At 37.0% G+C, this 17,223-nt stretch overlaps 1 protein-coding gene across 2 annotated transcripts in view; it reads right to left on the bottom strand.

Annotated features, from left to right (window-relative positions):
- THSD7B (thrombospondin type 1 domain containing 7B) overlaps window positions 1–17,223 on the bottom strand; it is a 912,174-nt gene that overhangs the window by 256,977 nt on the left and 637,974 nt on the right. For both annotated transcript variants that reach the window (NM_001316349.2, XM_047445935.1), the window contains exons 13-14: window positions 14,935–15,129; window positions 8,870–9,133 (exon numbers count right to left, since the gene is read on the bottom strand). In NM_001316349.2, the coding sequence (NP_001303278.1) occupies window positions 8,870–9,133; window positions 14,935–15,129 (459 nt within the window). The remainder of the gene's footprint in view (window positions 1–8,869; window positions 9,134–14,934; window positions 15,130–17,223) is intronic.

Below are 17,223 nucleotides of genomic sequence, written 5' to 3'. Positions count from 1 at the left end.
TGAATTCACATATGTGAATTAAAATTAGTTATTCATAAGCATAATTTACAATCTGTGTTTTGTGAGCCATTATTGAGTATGTGTGATTTGCTGACACTCTGCCAGCTGTTTGTGATGATAGAGTGATGAAGTGTTCATGGTCCATCTCTCAGGGGGCACACAGCCCTCTGTGGCAGCATGGATTAGCAATAAGATAGGTAAAATAGGAGAAGTATAGGACCGAGAATGTATATCTTGCTAACAAACATTAAGCGGCAAGCTCCTCTCCTAGTGGGTTCTAGGGGTTGGGGAGTCAGGAAAGGGCTGCCGGGCAAGACTGTCTGTGGTTTTTCAAAAAGGGTGACATTTCTAATACAAGTTCAGAAAGGTTATTAGGAATCAACTAGAGAATTAAGTTGCAAATTAAATTAAATTAAAGTCACAGCAGGAGGAAAGTAGATAGGTACAGAAGGCAAAAGACCCCTGCCAGCAAATGGTATATATTGAGATATTCTAGAACCCAGGACTGCTGGAGTTCAGAGTGGGGTGGATGAAATATGAGGCTTCAGGCATTAAACAAGGTTAAAATCAAAACCACGGTAGATATCATCTCACTCCAGTAAAAATGGCTTTTATCTAAAAGACAGGGAATAACAGATGCTGCTGAGGATATGGAGAAAGGGGAACCCTCGTACACTGTTAGTGGGAATGTAAATTAGTATAATCATTATGAATAACAGTATGGAGTTTCCTTAAAAAACTAAAAATAGAACTACCATATTATCCAGCAATTCCAGTACTGAGTATATATTCAAGAGACATAAAGTCAATATAGCAAAGGGGTATCTATACTCCCACTATTTTCAATAGCCAAAATATGGAATCAGTCTAAGTGTTCATCAGTGGATGAATGTATAAAGCAAATGATAATGACAGGAGGCAGACAAATCCTAGGCAGACAGGGACAGGTCCCCAGTGAAATCTGACCTTCAAGCTGAAGACAGTCCTGGGTAAATTCTCGGACCAGATTGAGAACCTCTCTGACTGTGTGCTGTGCTTTCCACCGATCGATCCCCACCCTTCACCTATTTTACATATACCTACCCTTTCCTAATTGGTTTTCTACACTGTTGTGCCCACCTTTGAGTGGTGCCTTTGTTTTAGCCTCTTTTTGCATACTCAAACCAATCAGTACACACGCCCCATTCTGAACACATAAAAGCCCTGGACCCAGCCACACTGAGGGAGAGATGACCTGACTTCAGGTGGGGGGCACCTTGGCATCCCATCTCTGCAGAGAGCTATTTCATCACTCAGTAACATTATTCTCTGTCCTTTTCACTCTTCGATTATCAGTGTATCCTCATTCTTCTTTGATGTGGGACAAGAACTCAGGACCCACCAAAAGTGGGGGCTGAGAGCTCAATTGCAGTGGCTACAGGATAAGCACCAGAGTACAAGCCAGGCACAGCCTGGCAGACTGAGTAGATGGGGTATCTCCTGCAGCAAAGCTGGCAAAGGGGCCAAGAAAAATCCTGCATCAAAAATGTGGTATAGCTGGGCATGGTGGTTCATGCCTATAAACCCAGCACTTTGGGAAGCCAACAGGGGTGAATCACCTGAGGTCAGGAGTTCAAGACCAGCCAGGGCAACATGGTGAAAACCCATCTCCAGTAAAAATATAAAAATTAGCTAGGTGTGGTGGCAGGTGCTTCTAATCCCAGCTACTTGGAAGGCTGAGGCATGATAATCACTTGAACCCAGGAGACAGTGGTTGCAGTGAGCCCAGATTGCACCCCTGCACTCCAGCCTGGGTGACAGAGCTAGACTCCATCTTAAAAAAAAAAAAGTGAGACATATACACAATGGAATATTATTCAGCCACTATACAGAATGAACTCCTGTCATTTGCAGCAACATTGATTGAACTGGAGGTCATTATGTTGAGTGAAATTAGCCAAGCATAGAAGGACAAATATCACATGTCCTCACTTATATGTGGGAGCTATAAAAGGAGATGTCATAAAAATAGAGAGTAGATTGGTGATTACCAGAGCCTAGAAAAAATAGGAGGGATGAAGAGAGGTTGATTAACGGGTACAAATATATACTTAGGAAAAAATAAAATCTGGTTTTCAATAGATCAGTAGAGTGACTCTAGTTAACATTAACCTATTGTACATTTCAAAATATCTAGAAGAGTAATTTGAATGTTTCCAGCATAAAGAAAAGATATTTAAGGTGATGAATGTTCTACTTAACCTGATATGATTATATGAGTGTTTCAAATTATCAGTTGTATGCAGAAAATATGTAAATCTTTTATAATGATTAAAAAAAGGAGGGTAAAATCATGAAGGGCTTGTATCCCATTCTAAGGGGTCTGGGCAATGGGTTGCCATTTGAGGTTTTAAAATCTACGGGAGTGATAATCAGATTTGCCTTTTGGAAAGATTCCTGTCCTTGAAATGGGAGAGAGGCTGGCCAGAAGAAGGACTGAGTGAGGACAGTGGATGGGCCACCACTGCAGTGAATCTACAATAAACATAAAGTAGCCTGAACTAAGGCAGAGCAACAGGGCTGGAGAAAAGTGGATAGAAGAGAGAAACAGCTCTAACACAGCAATATTATATGAAGTTTATATCTATGGTCATGTTAAAACAAACAAAAGTAGCAAAAGAGGCAAAATCACAACACGAAAACATAGAAACATATTCTTTATCTTGTCAATGCAAATCTCCTTAGCCCAGACACTATTATTCTTCCCCAAGTGGTGAATTGAAGAGCCTTTCAATGTCTTGGTAAATAAACATAAAGGTGTAAAGGATTTAGGCAATGAGTCATTTGGCAAGAATTTCATATAACTAAAAAGTTTCTATTTCTTTCTGGGAGAGAGGATATAATATAATTATTCAGTCCCTTCCATGAACTGGACTTATGAAGACTGTTCACAATAGGTTAATACATGTGTCCTGTCTTTGATATCCACAAATCTTTGCCAGGACACTGTATATATAAAATGCTGTCTTAGGTCAGTTGCAGTGGCTCATGCCTGTAATTCCAGCAGTTTGAGAGGCCTTGGTGGGAGGATCGCTTGAGCCCAAGAGTTTGAGACCAGCGTGAGCAACATAGGGAGACCTCAACTCTACAAAAAATAAAAAATAAAAATAAAAAATTAGCCAGTAGTCCTAGATACTCAGGAGGCTGAGGCGGGAGGATCACTTGAGCCCAGGACTCTGAAGTTGCAGTGAGCTATAATCATGCTACTGTAATCTAGCCTAGGCTACAGAGGAAACTTTGTCTCAAAAATAAAGTAAAATAAAATAAAATAAAATGGTTAATTTTGAACCTAGACCTGGAATTAGAAAAAAAAAGCTCTTTTAATCACCTTGATTAATAAAGATGTAATTTTCAGTCCCAAGCATGTTCTCCCAGCTCAACCAAAATAAACTTGTTCATATAGAGTTGTAAGAGAAATATTTCAATTATTTAAAATTCAATACATACACAGCAAATCTAAACTTTCTAAATACATTAATATTAAATTCACTTTTCCAGTGATTGCAAACATGTAAATATTTATTTCTTAAATCCAAAAAGAGATTCTTTAGATTATGATGATTATTTTGCTTTGTGTTCTATCTATACCTACTTATATATTACAGTAAATTAATGAAATTATAAGTGTTAAATTGCAAATGCTAAATTACATGTGGATGATATACTAATGAAAATAATTCATTGCCTACAAATCAATTATGATTTATCTGGAATCAGATAGAAAACATTATATTTTCATTTCATAATTTGATGAATGAAAGCTTATTCACATTTTTGTCACTGGATCACTTGAAAAAATCATTCCTTCTGCATTCTTCCATTGTTTCAAAAACATTGCTTATCCACTAGCAGCAATGTAATTTCATTTCCTCTATTCCCAAACTATACATCGAGGGCAAAATAGAACAAGGTTTTCTGTGCTCTTTGTGTTACACAGGTGGCTTCTCTATGGATCTGCTTTTGTTATACACAGCTGTTCTACCCAAGGGGCTGTTAAAACATGTGCATACACTGCACGCACACTTCAGAACCTGTATATGGGCATATGTGTGTTGACTCTTATCTAAACTATCCTTTCCATTCATTCAGCCAACAGATACTGAGAGCCTGTGTGGGGCCAGAGCCTGTGATAGGTATTGGGGATGGAGAAATAAACATGATACAATCATGAATTTCAATGAACTCTCAATTTAGTAAGAGAAATAGAGATCTACATGGATGTTTTAAATAAAGTTAAATGTAGTGTTACAAAAAAACACAAGAGCGGAAGAAAGGAAAATACTTCCTGCAATGGGTAGCACCTGATCTTAACCCAGAGGATGAAGAGTCCCATGACAGGAGGAAAAAGGGCATGCCAGGTGAAGTACATCCTCATGGAAGTCCTCGAGGGTCCAGCTGAGGAGCTGCTACATAAAGAGACCAGGAAAGACTGCAAGCAGGCCCATGGCTTGGACACATTTTCGTGTCAGTATGATGGCTGATGGCTCCTGGCATGACAGATATCAGGTGGATAAGTCAAGACAGAACAGCATAACATCAGCATGTGCAGAAGATAGAAAAAGGAAAGGAAAAGACAAGACATACTTTGGAGACAAAATTACCACAACCCGATGATTCAGTCATGTTTTCAAAAACATGTTTTGAATGTCTATGAAATTTCTGACACTGTAGGTGTTGTGGATACAGCAGTTGAAAATAAATAAAAGACATTTTTAATAAGTTTCCACTCTCCTGGAACTTTATAATCGACTGCAGGGAGAGACAATAAGCACTCATTTCTAAAAAGTAAATATATAATGTGTCAGTTGGTGATTAAGTGCTATGAAAAAACATAAAGACTGGCAAGGGAAATAGGAAGTGATGAGGTGGATCAATTATTAGAGGAATCAGAAAGACTTGATATGAGGGGATATTCAGCAGAGACCTGAATGAAAGGAGAGATGAAGGCAGGGCCAGGGAGAGATAAAGCTCAGTGTATTGGCATGCTAGAGTACTTTTTTGTCCTGTTCTTTGAAAAAAAAAAAAAAAAAAAAAAAAACACTGATATAAGAAACATGGTTGGAAGTGGCTCACCTCAAGAATCTGAATTTTGTCACGGGATATTTTGTTGCCCAATTTAGGTAGTCCCTTCATTGGACCTGTTGTCACACAGATGGAGACGACACCATGCACTTTTGCATCAGGCAGTGATGGAACTCATTAAGAGCCAATAGGGGCTGACAGAACTTAGAGACAAACTCCATTTTAAAGTTTTTTAAAAAATAAATTGTGATTTTAATATTTCTCCTCATTGTGATACTCCGAAAGCCAAGCAGACTGGGCTGTGATTATCAATGGTTTGAGTTATCCATGGAATCCATTAGTATGGATAACTCAGAATTTATGGAGTTGTGTTCCCACAGTTATGTGTATCCAATAGGGGCCATATAGAACACATTATGCTTGATGAGGAATAATTATCCTCATGAAGAAGTCTCCCTGATGTCATTGTAGGGAATCCTGCTCATGTCTAAAATGCAAATGGGAGACAAAGTCCAAGTAAAGATTTAAAAGGGGGAAGCACTTACCATTCTTATTGGGAGATCCAGATTTAGGTCATTATCCTGTGTCTCAGTTTGCCCATGATAATAATTTTTTTTTTTTTTTTGAGACAGGGTCTTGCTCTGTCACCTAGGCTAGAGTGCAGTGGCACGATGTTGGCTCACTGCAATTTCCGCCTACGAAGTTCAAGTGATTCTCCCACCTCAGCCTCCCAAGTAGCTGGGATTACAGGCACCTGCCACCACACCTGGCTAATTTTTGTATTTTTAGTAGAGATGGGGTTTTGCCATGTTGGCCAGGCTGGTCTTGAAGTCATGGCCTCAAGTGATCCACCTGCCTTGGCCTCCCAAAGTGCTAGGATTACAGGCATGAGCCACTGCACCTAACCTATAATATAATTCTTAATAGTGAGCTAATTCATATACATATATACATATACTTAGAGGCAGGGTCTCATTCTTTCACACAGGCTGGAGTGCAGTGACACAATCATGGCTCACTGAAGCCTTGACCTCCCACAAACTCAAGTGATCCTGCCACCTCAGTCTCCCAAATAGTTGGGACCACAGATGCATGCTACCATGCCTGGCTAATTTTTTATTTTTTCTAGAGGCAAGTCCTCCCTATGTTGACCAGGCTTGTCTCAAACTCTTGGGCTCAAGCGATCCTCCCACCTATGCCTCCCAAAGTGCTGGGATTACAGGCATGAGCCACAGTGCCATACCCCAATTCATGGATGGATATATATATATACACACACACACACTAAGTCTTTATTAGTAACCATTAAAAGATTTTTTTTTCTTTGATAGACAAGTATATGTCATATCCCTAGAAGTGACACAATAAGGTATTTTCACTCGCTATTTTTTTTAAAAAACCTTTTTTTGAAAATACATACTGTGAAAGTAGCTTAATACAAGTACCATAAAAGTTATGAGGCTACAGTAAATTTTGATTAAAGCATGATTTTCATCTGGTGAAAGTCTCTTAGATTCCCTAATAGCTTTTGCTATGGCATTGCAAATTGGTTGAATTACAAATGTCTCCTCTTGTTTCAAGATGTTTTCATTTCTAACCTGAAATGATTATTTTCTAAATTAAAAAACCCTCCACAAATTCATGCAAAATTACGGATGAATGACAGATAACATATAGAAAAGACGACTTGCATTTGGAATAATCTTGTCAATTCTATCTCTAAATTACATCTTAAAATTACTTCTGTATTTCTTTATTGCCACCACCCTAGTCTAACCTACCATCATGTCTTTCCTTGATTAACTACATGAGTTTCCCAGCAGCTTCCTTCCCCCTTTTAAGTCAGTCTGTAGACAGTAGTCAAAAGTGATCTTTAAAATCTCTAAATTGGATAACATTACTTACCCCACTTCCAAGCTGATGACTGCCGTTAAATTATATTCATATTCCTTGGCTTGTCTCACAAGATTCCACATACTTCTTCAACTTCACTTCACACAGCTCTCTCCTCACTCTCTACACTCAAACCACAGGGTTTTCGTTTTATCCAAAACACCTTTCCTAGCTTTTATCTTCTGGACACCCCACTAACTAAAACAACCTTGTTATGTGCTTTGTACATCTGCCTCCTTCTTACCTTTCACATCTTAGATTTATGTCACTTCAGTGAAGGCTTCCCTAAAGTCTATCGAAAAATTTTCTATTCAGCATCCTCAGAGCTAATCAAAACTTGAAATTCTTTTTATGTATTTGTTCTATTTCTATCCCCCTCTGGACAGTAAACTCCACAAGTTTCTGACTTCTCCTTAACTGTACACTCAAGTCATAGATGTCCAGGTACATAGCAGATGGTCAATAAAAACGTTTTGTTCAAATGAATGAATAAACCAATGCGCACATACAAGCTAAAAAACAAAGATTAGCATCACCTTAAAATGGGTCCATTACTTTCTTGTGATGTATTTAATGTTTCTGAAAGTCAAATCACTTAAAAAATTAATGTAGACTAATCTAGGAAGCCTATATAAAGCAATGAGAGTATTAATTTAAAAGTCATTAAATCTCATTGTATAATGATATGGGTATATCTTAAATAAAGATAGCTAGTACACTGGCAATAAAGAAGAACTATCATTTACTTAGCTTGTACATTATAATTGAATTTGATTTTCTGGTATTACTGAGAACGTTTATTAGTACACAAAACCTTGATGACTAAGACCAAAATCTACCCATTTGTTTCTAGACTTGTTTATTCTTTTTAAAAAACTAGTAAAAAAAAAAAAAGAAAGAAAGAAAAACAGAGCAGGAAATTCAGAGGCTCCATTGTAATGATTGGTTTCAGCCTGTTTCACCAATTTTCACCCCAGCTGTATTTAACCTCCATTTCTTTTTCCATACACCCAGATCTTTCAAATTCTCCCAATTAAGGTTCAAAAACAGTATTTTCCCAGATTAACATCTGACAAAACTCTCTGAGATTGTCTCTTGTTTTTTTCCTATAGTTTTATTCTATTAACTTGGGTATACTTATACTTTATATAGTAAAACTGTTTTTTGTTTTTTTTTGTTTTTTTTTTTTTGAGACAGAGTTTTGCTCTCGTTGCCCAGGAAAGAGTGTAATGGCACAGTCTGGGCTCACTGCAACCTCTGCCCCCCGGGTTCAAGCAATTCTGCCGCAGCCTCCCGAGTAGCTGGGATTACAGGCATGCGCCACCACGCCCGGCTAATTTTGTATTTTCAGTAGAGACAGGGTTTCTCCATGTTGGTCAGGCTGGTCTTAAACTCCTGACCTCAGGTGATCCGCCTGCCTCGGCCTCTCAAAGTGCTGGGATTACAGGCGTGAGCCACCGCGCCTGGCCTTTATACGGTAAAACTTTTAAAATCAACTTTTTCATTGATTTTTTTTTTTCTCAACTACATTAGAAGACACTCAAGTTCTGATGCCTTCTATGTATATGGTCAGAGCATGAAAAAACAGCATGGAACATATTTGTTTGTATTTGGCTTTGGCTTTCTCAGTGAAGTGGAGCAGCAGTGCTGACCACCAGTAAACAGGCGGCTAATAAACAAAGGTGAATTAGAGAATGAAGTGAGTCAGGGATCCAGCACCATCACATTCCAGATAATCATTGAGATACAGATGTATGCATTTCATCTGTCCATATTTTATGAGAGACAATGTGTTATTGACAAAGGAAAATTAAAACAATTATTATAGAGCAGAGCTATTAATTCTAGACCTGAGACAAACCTCCCGAGCTGTGTGTGAGTGTTCTCATCTGTTACTCTCCATCCATCTCCTTACCAGAGCTGCTGCAGAAGGAGGGGTCAACAGGTCTTCCATTTTTATCAGAACAGGCTACTGCTCGAAAGCGCAGGCCTTCTCCACATTCTTTGCTGTCTGCTTGTACCCGCAGTCCTCGGTGAGGCTCCCTTCTGCCTTCTGGAAGAATGCAATCTGACCAGTTTCCATAAGGTTGGGATATAAATTCATCACAAGGACATAGTTCTGTCTCCACTAGAGGGTAAAGGTCAGAATCCTGGCATTTCTCCTTCTTTCTGCTTTTCCCTGTTCCAACAAGAGACATTAAGATATTAAATGCTTATCTGCTGTTTTGTTAAAAGTCACTCACACTTTTGTATTTGTAATCTTTTAGAATATTAAATAAAATAAAGCCTTTGTTTTCTTCACTCTTTTGTCATGAAAGTAAATCCTGAGACAACGGAAACAACTCCCAGAACAACTGTGAAATTCAAGTTAATTTGAAAAAAGTAGAAAATGGTTTAATGTTTGAGAGTGGCATAAAATATTTAGAAGATGTTTGCTACAGCTAGAGAATTCCAGTTAATTTATTTAACATTTTCTCTGTAAGTTTGCTGGAAAAAACATACTGATAACCCTGTCCCCATTCTCCTTGACTAACGATCGCCAGGGAACCAATGAAAGCATCTAAGTGGTTAACTCCCTCTCTTCTTAGTAGAGGTCTCTTGCAATGTGATGGACAAAGTTAAACTCATTTTGGTCTCTGCCATCAGGCAGCTCCCAAACATTTATACAAACAATAAATTGAAATAAATGATCAAGTCATACTGGATAATTTAATCAGAGAAAAAGCTCTTTCATTTTGAGAGATTCTTCTAACTTAAGTATTCTGAAATATGACTTTACCTTACCAATTCACTTTGATGGACCTGTTAGTTTTGGTCCTATCTCTGAGTAAGACAATGCAGTGTCATTTTTCACAGCTGTAAACACTTGGTAATCATGTTTAGTGGATTCTAAATCAGCCTGTAACTTGATTCAACTTTGCTGTTAACACAATTCCTCTGGATTACTAAAAATTTTCCTAGATCTAATAATTCCACCTTTTGTTTTCTCATTAATGAGTCATTAGCTAGAGTCATGGCTGGTTATAAAATATATAGGCAGTTTTATTGGTCTATTTTTTGTGTTTATGGCTTTTCTGAAATGCCTGATACAAGCTGATGCATGGGCTACTTTCTCATTGCCACATGGTTTGCATTACATACAATTCTAGAGTTGCTGATGGGATGATTGGCTCTATGGTCTGCCATGATGCTTATGTTTGCAATAAATAAGAATTTCTAAGCTGGGCATGGTGGCTCACATCTGTAATCCCAGCACTTTGGGAGGCCACTGGGGGAGGATTACTTGAGATCAGGAGTTCGAGACCAGACTGGCCAACATAGTGAAACCCCATCTCTGCTAAAAATACAAAAATTAGTCAGGTGTGGTGGCACGTGCCTGTAATCCCAGCTACTCAGGAGGCAGAGGTAGGAGAATCACTTGAACTGAGGAGGTGGAGGTTGCAGTGAGCTAAGATCGCATCACTGCACTCTAGTCTGGGCGACAGAGCAAGATGCTGTCTCAAAAAAGAAAAAAAAAAAGAATTTCTGCAGGACCTGAAGTTGAGCTGGTAGTAGATTCAGCTACACTTCTGATAGAAGATATTCACTTGCCTCTACCATTAGGACACTAGAATAAGTTTGAAAAGCACAGCTTCCACCACAGCCATGAAAATTTACTGGCTGAGAGATATATCAATAATTAGTGAGGGGCTCCTTCCTATTAGCATTTAGCAGGTTCAAGACCTCCCTTTTTTCAAACTTCCATAAAATATTGTTGAATCTCTCAGTCTTCATCTCTTCAGTTTCATTTCTCTTCTAAACCCACTTAACCCTGGATTCTGTCTACTTATTTCTGGAAACCACTGTTATCAAGCAACAAACAAACAACAACAAAAACAAGAAACAAAGCCAAAGCCCTGGAATATCTTTTATTCCTTATCTTTAAGGTCTAATCACTCAATGATAGTTCAGAGTATTGACTACACTTTCATTCTCGAAATATTCTTTCCAAGTTCCATCGTAACATATCTTTTTGTTCCTCACCCTCACCCCATGCCCCCACCTCTCTCTTGCCATATATTATTTATTTTTACTTGGTGAACTATTCTTCTTCTCTACCTCCCTTAAACTGATGGGGTTCCCCAAGGCAACATCTTAGGTTCATCTCTCTTCTGATCCTACAACTTCACCCATTTGAAGAGTGTTAATTATCATACATATTTCTTCAATTTTAAATGACTGTCTTCATCCAAGATTTCTTGCTCAAGCTTCCAATCCATAGACTGAAAAATCTACATCTAAAGAACCAATCACACCCATTCTCTTTACATCACAATGTTTCTTTCTCCTGCGTTTCTCAATTCTACCAATATCACCAAGTTAAAAGTTGGAATGCCCTGAATTATTCTGTTGAACCCCCTATATCTGATTAATGACAAAGGTATATCACTTCAAATGCATAAAGATTCATTGCATCAGTCCATTTGTTTCCATTCCAATGGGTGTCACCCATATTTAGCCCCACCTGCAAATCTCCAGCTGAAATTACAGCAGATTTCTCCAAGATCTTGATGCCATCATACCTCACTACCTTCAATCTGTCCACCACATTGCAGTCAGAGCCAGCTTTCAAAGTACAAATCTGATCAAATCACTGGTCTACTGAAAACTCTGAAGTGGCTTACCATAGTACAGAATGAAATCCAGACTCCTCTCCTAGGGTCATCAAGGACCTATATGATTTGTGCCCATTTGTATCTGCCTCTAGCCTACATTGTACCACTCTGCCGCTAGCATGTTACGATACAGTCATAGTGAGCCTCTTTCAGATCCTAGAAATTACTCATTTTGCTTCTGGCCTTTGTATGTTTACTCCAGAAATTTCCACAATTTCTACCCACCTTCCTTAGGCTAGCTAACGCCTACTTCTCCTTCAGATCAAAACTCATGGGTTACTCCCTCCAGAAAACCATCCTTGAACATGGAAGAGTGGTTAGAGAAATGCAATGTTGCTGGCTTTGAAGACGGAGGGAGGGGAACATGAGCCAGGGACTTGCACAGCATCTACAAGCTTGAAAATGAAAGGAAACAATTGTCCCCTGAAGCCTCCAGAAAGAAATGCAGCCTTACCAACATCTCATCTTTATTTAGATCTGTGAAACACTACAGATCTGTAAAATAATAAATCTGTGCTGCTTTAAGCCAGCAATGTTGTGGTAATTTGTTACAACAATAGGATTTGTTTGAATACCGCTCCCAATACAACAGCAACTATAGCAGAAGCTGTACTGTAATTATCTCCAGTAAAAATCTCACCGTATCTCCAATTAGATCGCAAGCTCTGTTAAGTTAGGATCGTGTCTACTGATTCCCTTGAGGCCATCACCAAGGACTAGCACATATAAGTGGTAAACAAAAAAATATTCATTGAATAATTGAGAAAAGGAAGTTGTGAAAAAAAGAAAAAGATCAAGATAAAGGAGAAGGGGGAAGGAGAAAAAAGAGAAAGAGAGGGAGGAGGAGAAAAAAGAAAAATAATGTTCATCTACAAGGTGACCAGAAGTTATTAGCAAACAAATATTCTGTACAAATATATGCTGCCTCTATGTTTATGATATCCTTCTTAATTATATAGCATCACTGTTTGATGAAGGATTTAAGCAAGTTAATGCAGAAATGGTTGTCACAATAAGAAACAAATTATCAGTGATCCTTTACTTTGATTATATACTAATCAAAATCAGCATTAACCTTTGGATTCAGAACAAGTTAATATTAAAAATCAATCCCTAGTACAATTCTAAAGACTTTTTCTTCCTTAAGTCAGAATATGTAGTAGTTATCTAGTTATTATAAATAAATATTTATATATTATATCTCATATAATATATATAAAACCTGGACAGGTTTTCTATCTAATAAATGGAATATTTTTTGGCATTCTATTAACAATTGTTTTAAATACTATTGAGTCTAAAACCTGTGATGACATAGTTTGGGTACAACATACAGAACGCTCAGTGAATTAAAGCCTGTTACAAATGGACAAAAGAAAGTTAAATATCCTGTATGGCCCCATATTCAATGAAGTGGCTTGTATTTATGTTTATATGTTTCAGTGTGTGTGTTTGCATTAAAGAGAGAAAGAATCACATGGCTTTGGAGTTTGAGTACAAGACTTTCAGCAGCATTCATGTTAGAGATTGTTTATTGCATTTACTACCAAATTACTTAGAGATAACAAAATACAAGCATTAGTTTCATGACAATAAAAATAAGTCTTGAAAAGTGAAAATATTTCAATTCATTAGTGGGATTTTTTTCCAACAGTGATATTAAATGATTCATTTTACTGTTTTATTTTTTTTAAAAAAACTCATGTATTTCATGAAATTGCTAACTTGTTTTGGTGCCACGTAGACATAAAGATACACAAAGGTCAATTAGCCACCTGAAAGTACAGCAGTTAATAATTTAGAAAAGAAATTTCAAACAGTCTTTTAGTATGAGTAATTTTTAGAGTTTGCAGAAAAAAATGTACAGCTATTCTTCAATATTTATATAAAAGGAACATTTTCAATAAAAGTCAAATTCATTAGAGTTTCAACAATTCATAACAAAAATGGTACTGGTTGTAAAATGAATAAATATCCTAGGATTTTCAATATTTTCCATTTTCATTATGTAGGTGTAAACTATCATGAATAAACTTTCAAGAAAAAAGAAAAAAACTGGCCACTAATTAAAAACTTCCCTTTCCTCTACAGGGAATTCTCTCTCATCTCAAGTATATAAAGAGTTGCCAGAGTAATGGCTTCCGATGCGTTATGTTTGTACAGGCAAACAAAGTTTCATTCATTGGCCCCTGAACTTCAACTATTCCTGTCACATACATTCTATCTCACTGTGTTGTTTTTCTATGAGAAATTTGTTGTATCTTAGAAACAAGCAATGTTGCATAAAATCATGTGGCACAAATTTTTGTGGAAGATAGGGCATGAAGTACAGCATTTCTTGTTTGGTGTTCTGTTTATGGTTATGCATTTCACCTACACTTACAAATGGACTCCCAGTTTGTTTGCAGAAATCCTGTTAAAGCCTCTAGCAGATTACTTAAATCCATAATGGTGATTTAAATTCAAAATGTGATCAGGTAAGCAATGCATTCAGACAAAAGGGTCTTGAAACCAACAGAATTAGCCCTTCAACTGCTCATGAGAACAAATGGTCATCTGTGCTTAATTCTTCAATGTCAACACCAATTTCATTATCTCAGTGATTACTCTGGCATTTTCCTTTGGTTCTCCATTTTCTGCTTATACAAACACATAAGAAGTTAAGAGAAGTTGTGGCATTTTTATCTAGGCACGTAGTAAAATACACTATTGCATCAATTATTTGCATACTGCAGGCAAAAATTGCCCCAGGAATTCAATTAAACAATTAGTTGCTTTAATTCCCATTAAATTTTTGCAGCTGAAAACAGAACTCATAATTAATAATATACCACAAAAGCAGAATGAGTATATGTAATTTGATTTTTGCCTTACACTAGTAAAATTTTAAAATGTCAAATTGCTTATAAGATAATGGCAAAAGACAATGATGTCAGTTAGATCTGTTTTTGATAATCTTCCCAAACCAGTGATTGCCTTCAAGCTCACTGAGATCCTGGCATGATAGCACATGACAAACTTTGCCATTACCTACTCAAAAGAAGTTGGTGAATGAAATGCCTTTTATGACTACAAAGATTATAAAACTATATAGAGAGGAACTTGATAGCTATAAAACAGTTCACATCTTTCATTCATTTCGGAAACATTAATTGAGTACTTGTTACGTACCAGGCATTGTTCTGAGTTTGAGGATATGTATTAACGAATGGAGAGAGAGGAAGAGACCTGATGCAAATTCCTGTCCTTTGGACCTCATATTCTACACAAAAGATCCAGAGATGTTCAGCTTGCCTGATGCTAAAGAGTAAAATGCACACTATACCTGTGAGCTGTCGCCGCCTACTTTTTGTGGCTTCACAGTTCGTGGAGCAGGGCGTAAACTTGGACCAAGCAGTGAAGGTGCAGTCTTCTCGACATGGGACTGTGCATTCTTGCACAAGGAGAGGCATGCCGTTTGTCTGCTTGAGGCATTCCATCATTTCTGCTGACCGGTTGTCATCAGAGATGCATGAGACAGCTGAAAAAAAGCATGAATTCTTTTGTTATTATTTTGATTAAATCAGTCAGCTGCTGGTTCTTTGACAAGACAGCAGAATCCCCCAATGTTTAAAAACTTGGGCTTCACAAATGGTGCAAACGGTGTTCAACATAGCTAACCTTATTTCTCTCTGGAAATTAAATTTTTATTGTTGTCATTGGAGGTATTTGAGGATTTAATTGGTTTCATTATTAATCCAAACCCTGCGTCGACAGCAACCAAAATAACTTCCAGTAATTTATTGTACTTCCTGCTCCTCAGCATCTAATCTCTAGAGATGATATAAAACTAAGAAAGGGAAACTATAAGAGTAAGATGATAACACAAAAAGGACGAAACTACTTTTAAAAAATCACTTAGGCTCCTCCTAGATGTCATTTTTTTTTTTTTTTTGCTTGTTTAGATGGCACTTACAGAAGTAGACCTATACAGTCAGTATTTTTAAAGGAATTTCTGCTGTCTGTAAATAAACATTTTTCTCCTTATTAATTTTTAGGGACCAGTTAAAATTTTTATTTTTTTTCAAGCACAAGCATAGTCTATTCAGATCATTTCCATTGCAAATATATTTTATGTTTTGAATTTTATTTTTCCATAAGTTATTGGGGTACAGGTGGTATTTGGTTACACAAATTCTTTAGCGGAGATGTGTGATAACCTGGTACACCCATCACCTGAGCAGTGTACACTGCACCATATTTGTTGTCTTTTATCCCTCACCCCCCTCCCACTGTTCCCACCAAGTCCCCAAAGTTCATTGTATCATTCTTATGCCTTTGCATCCTCATAGCTTAGTTCCCACATATCAGTGAGAGCATATGATGTTTGGTTTTCCATTCCTGAGTTACTTCACTCAGAATAATGGCCTCTAATCTCATCCAGGTCACTGCAAATGCTGTTAATTCATTCCTTTTTATGGTTGAGTAATATTCCATCATATATATTATATATACACTATATACGATCATATATATGATCATATATAGTATGTGTGTGTATATATAGTATCTGTGTATATATATAGTGTGTGTATATAAATATATAGTATGTGTGTATATATATATTGTGTGTGTATATACATATATGTGTGTGTGTGTGTGTGTGTGTGTGTGTGTGTATATATATATATATATATATATATATATATATATATATATATATCTCAGAGTTTCTTTATCCACTCATTGATTGATGGGCATTTGGGTGGGTTCCACGATTTTCCTATTGTGACTTGTGCTGCTATAAACATGCATGTGCAAGTATCTTTTCTGAATAATGACTTCTTTTCCTCTGGGTAGATACCGAGTAGTGGGACTGATGGATCAAATGGTAATTCTACTTTTAGTTCTTTACAGCTTTTTTAGTTCTTTATAGCTTTTCAAAGTTTCTCTCACACACTTTTTCAACTAGGAACTCTCTAGTCGTTCCTTAAAATAATAATCGTGAGGTAACACATTCCTAAAATTTTGCTTAAATTTTTACTGAATTCTCTGGACTAATGCTATTTATTTTGTTTTATTTTATTTATGAATGAATACACAATATTTTGGTTCATCTTTTTCACTCTGGTTAATTATAGACTCTCAAAGAATATACATTTATATTCTCTAGATCAACATTTCTCAACCTTGGCACTACAGAAAATTTAGATTGGACAGTTTTTTTTGTGGGTGTGTAAATAAGTGTTGTGCATGGTGAGATATGTAGCAGCATCTCTGGCCTCTACCCATTAGATGCCAGTAGCATCCACCCCTCTTAAGTGGTAACAATCAAAACTCTCTCCAGGCATTGCCAAATGTTCCCTTGGGGGCAAAATTGCCACAGTTGAAAACACCTCTTCTAATTCCTAACCATGGATGTATATGAGAATACACAGATTCCATGGTACCACTTCAGATCTTCCATATCAACATCTCTGGGTGAGAAACCAGGGAATATCTTTGTGTTTAAATGGCTCACATAATTCTGGTCTACCCTGTCTACCGACTACCCATATTTGGCATGATGCCTTAGACACGCTGTATGTTAATGGATATTTGCTGAATTCATCATTCTAAAGAAATCATAGTTTAG

This window comes from Homo sapiens, chromosome 2 (assembly GCF_000001405.40).
Source record: "Homo sapiens chromosome 2, GRCh38.p14 Primary Assembly".
NCBI lineage: Eukaryota > Metazoa > Chordata > Mammalia > Primates > Hominidae > Homo > Homo sapiens.
Note: the sequence above shows the minus strand (reverse complement) of the source record. Positions and strands in the feature narration are given on the sequence as shown.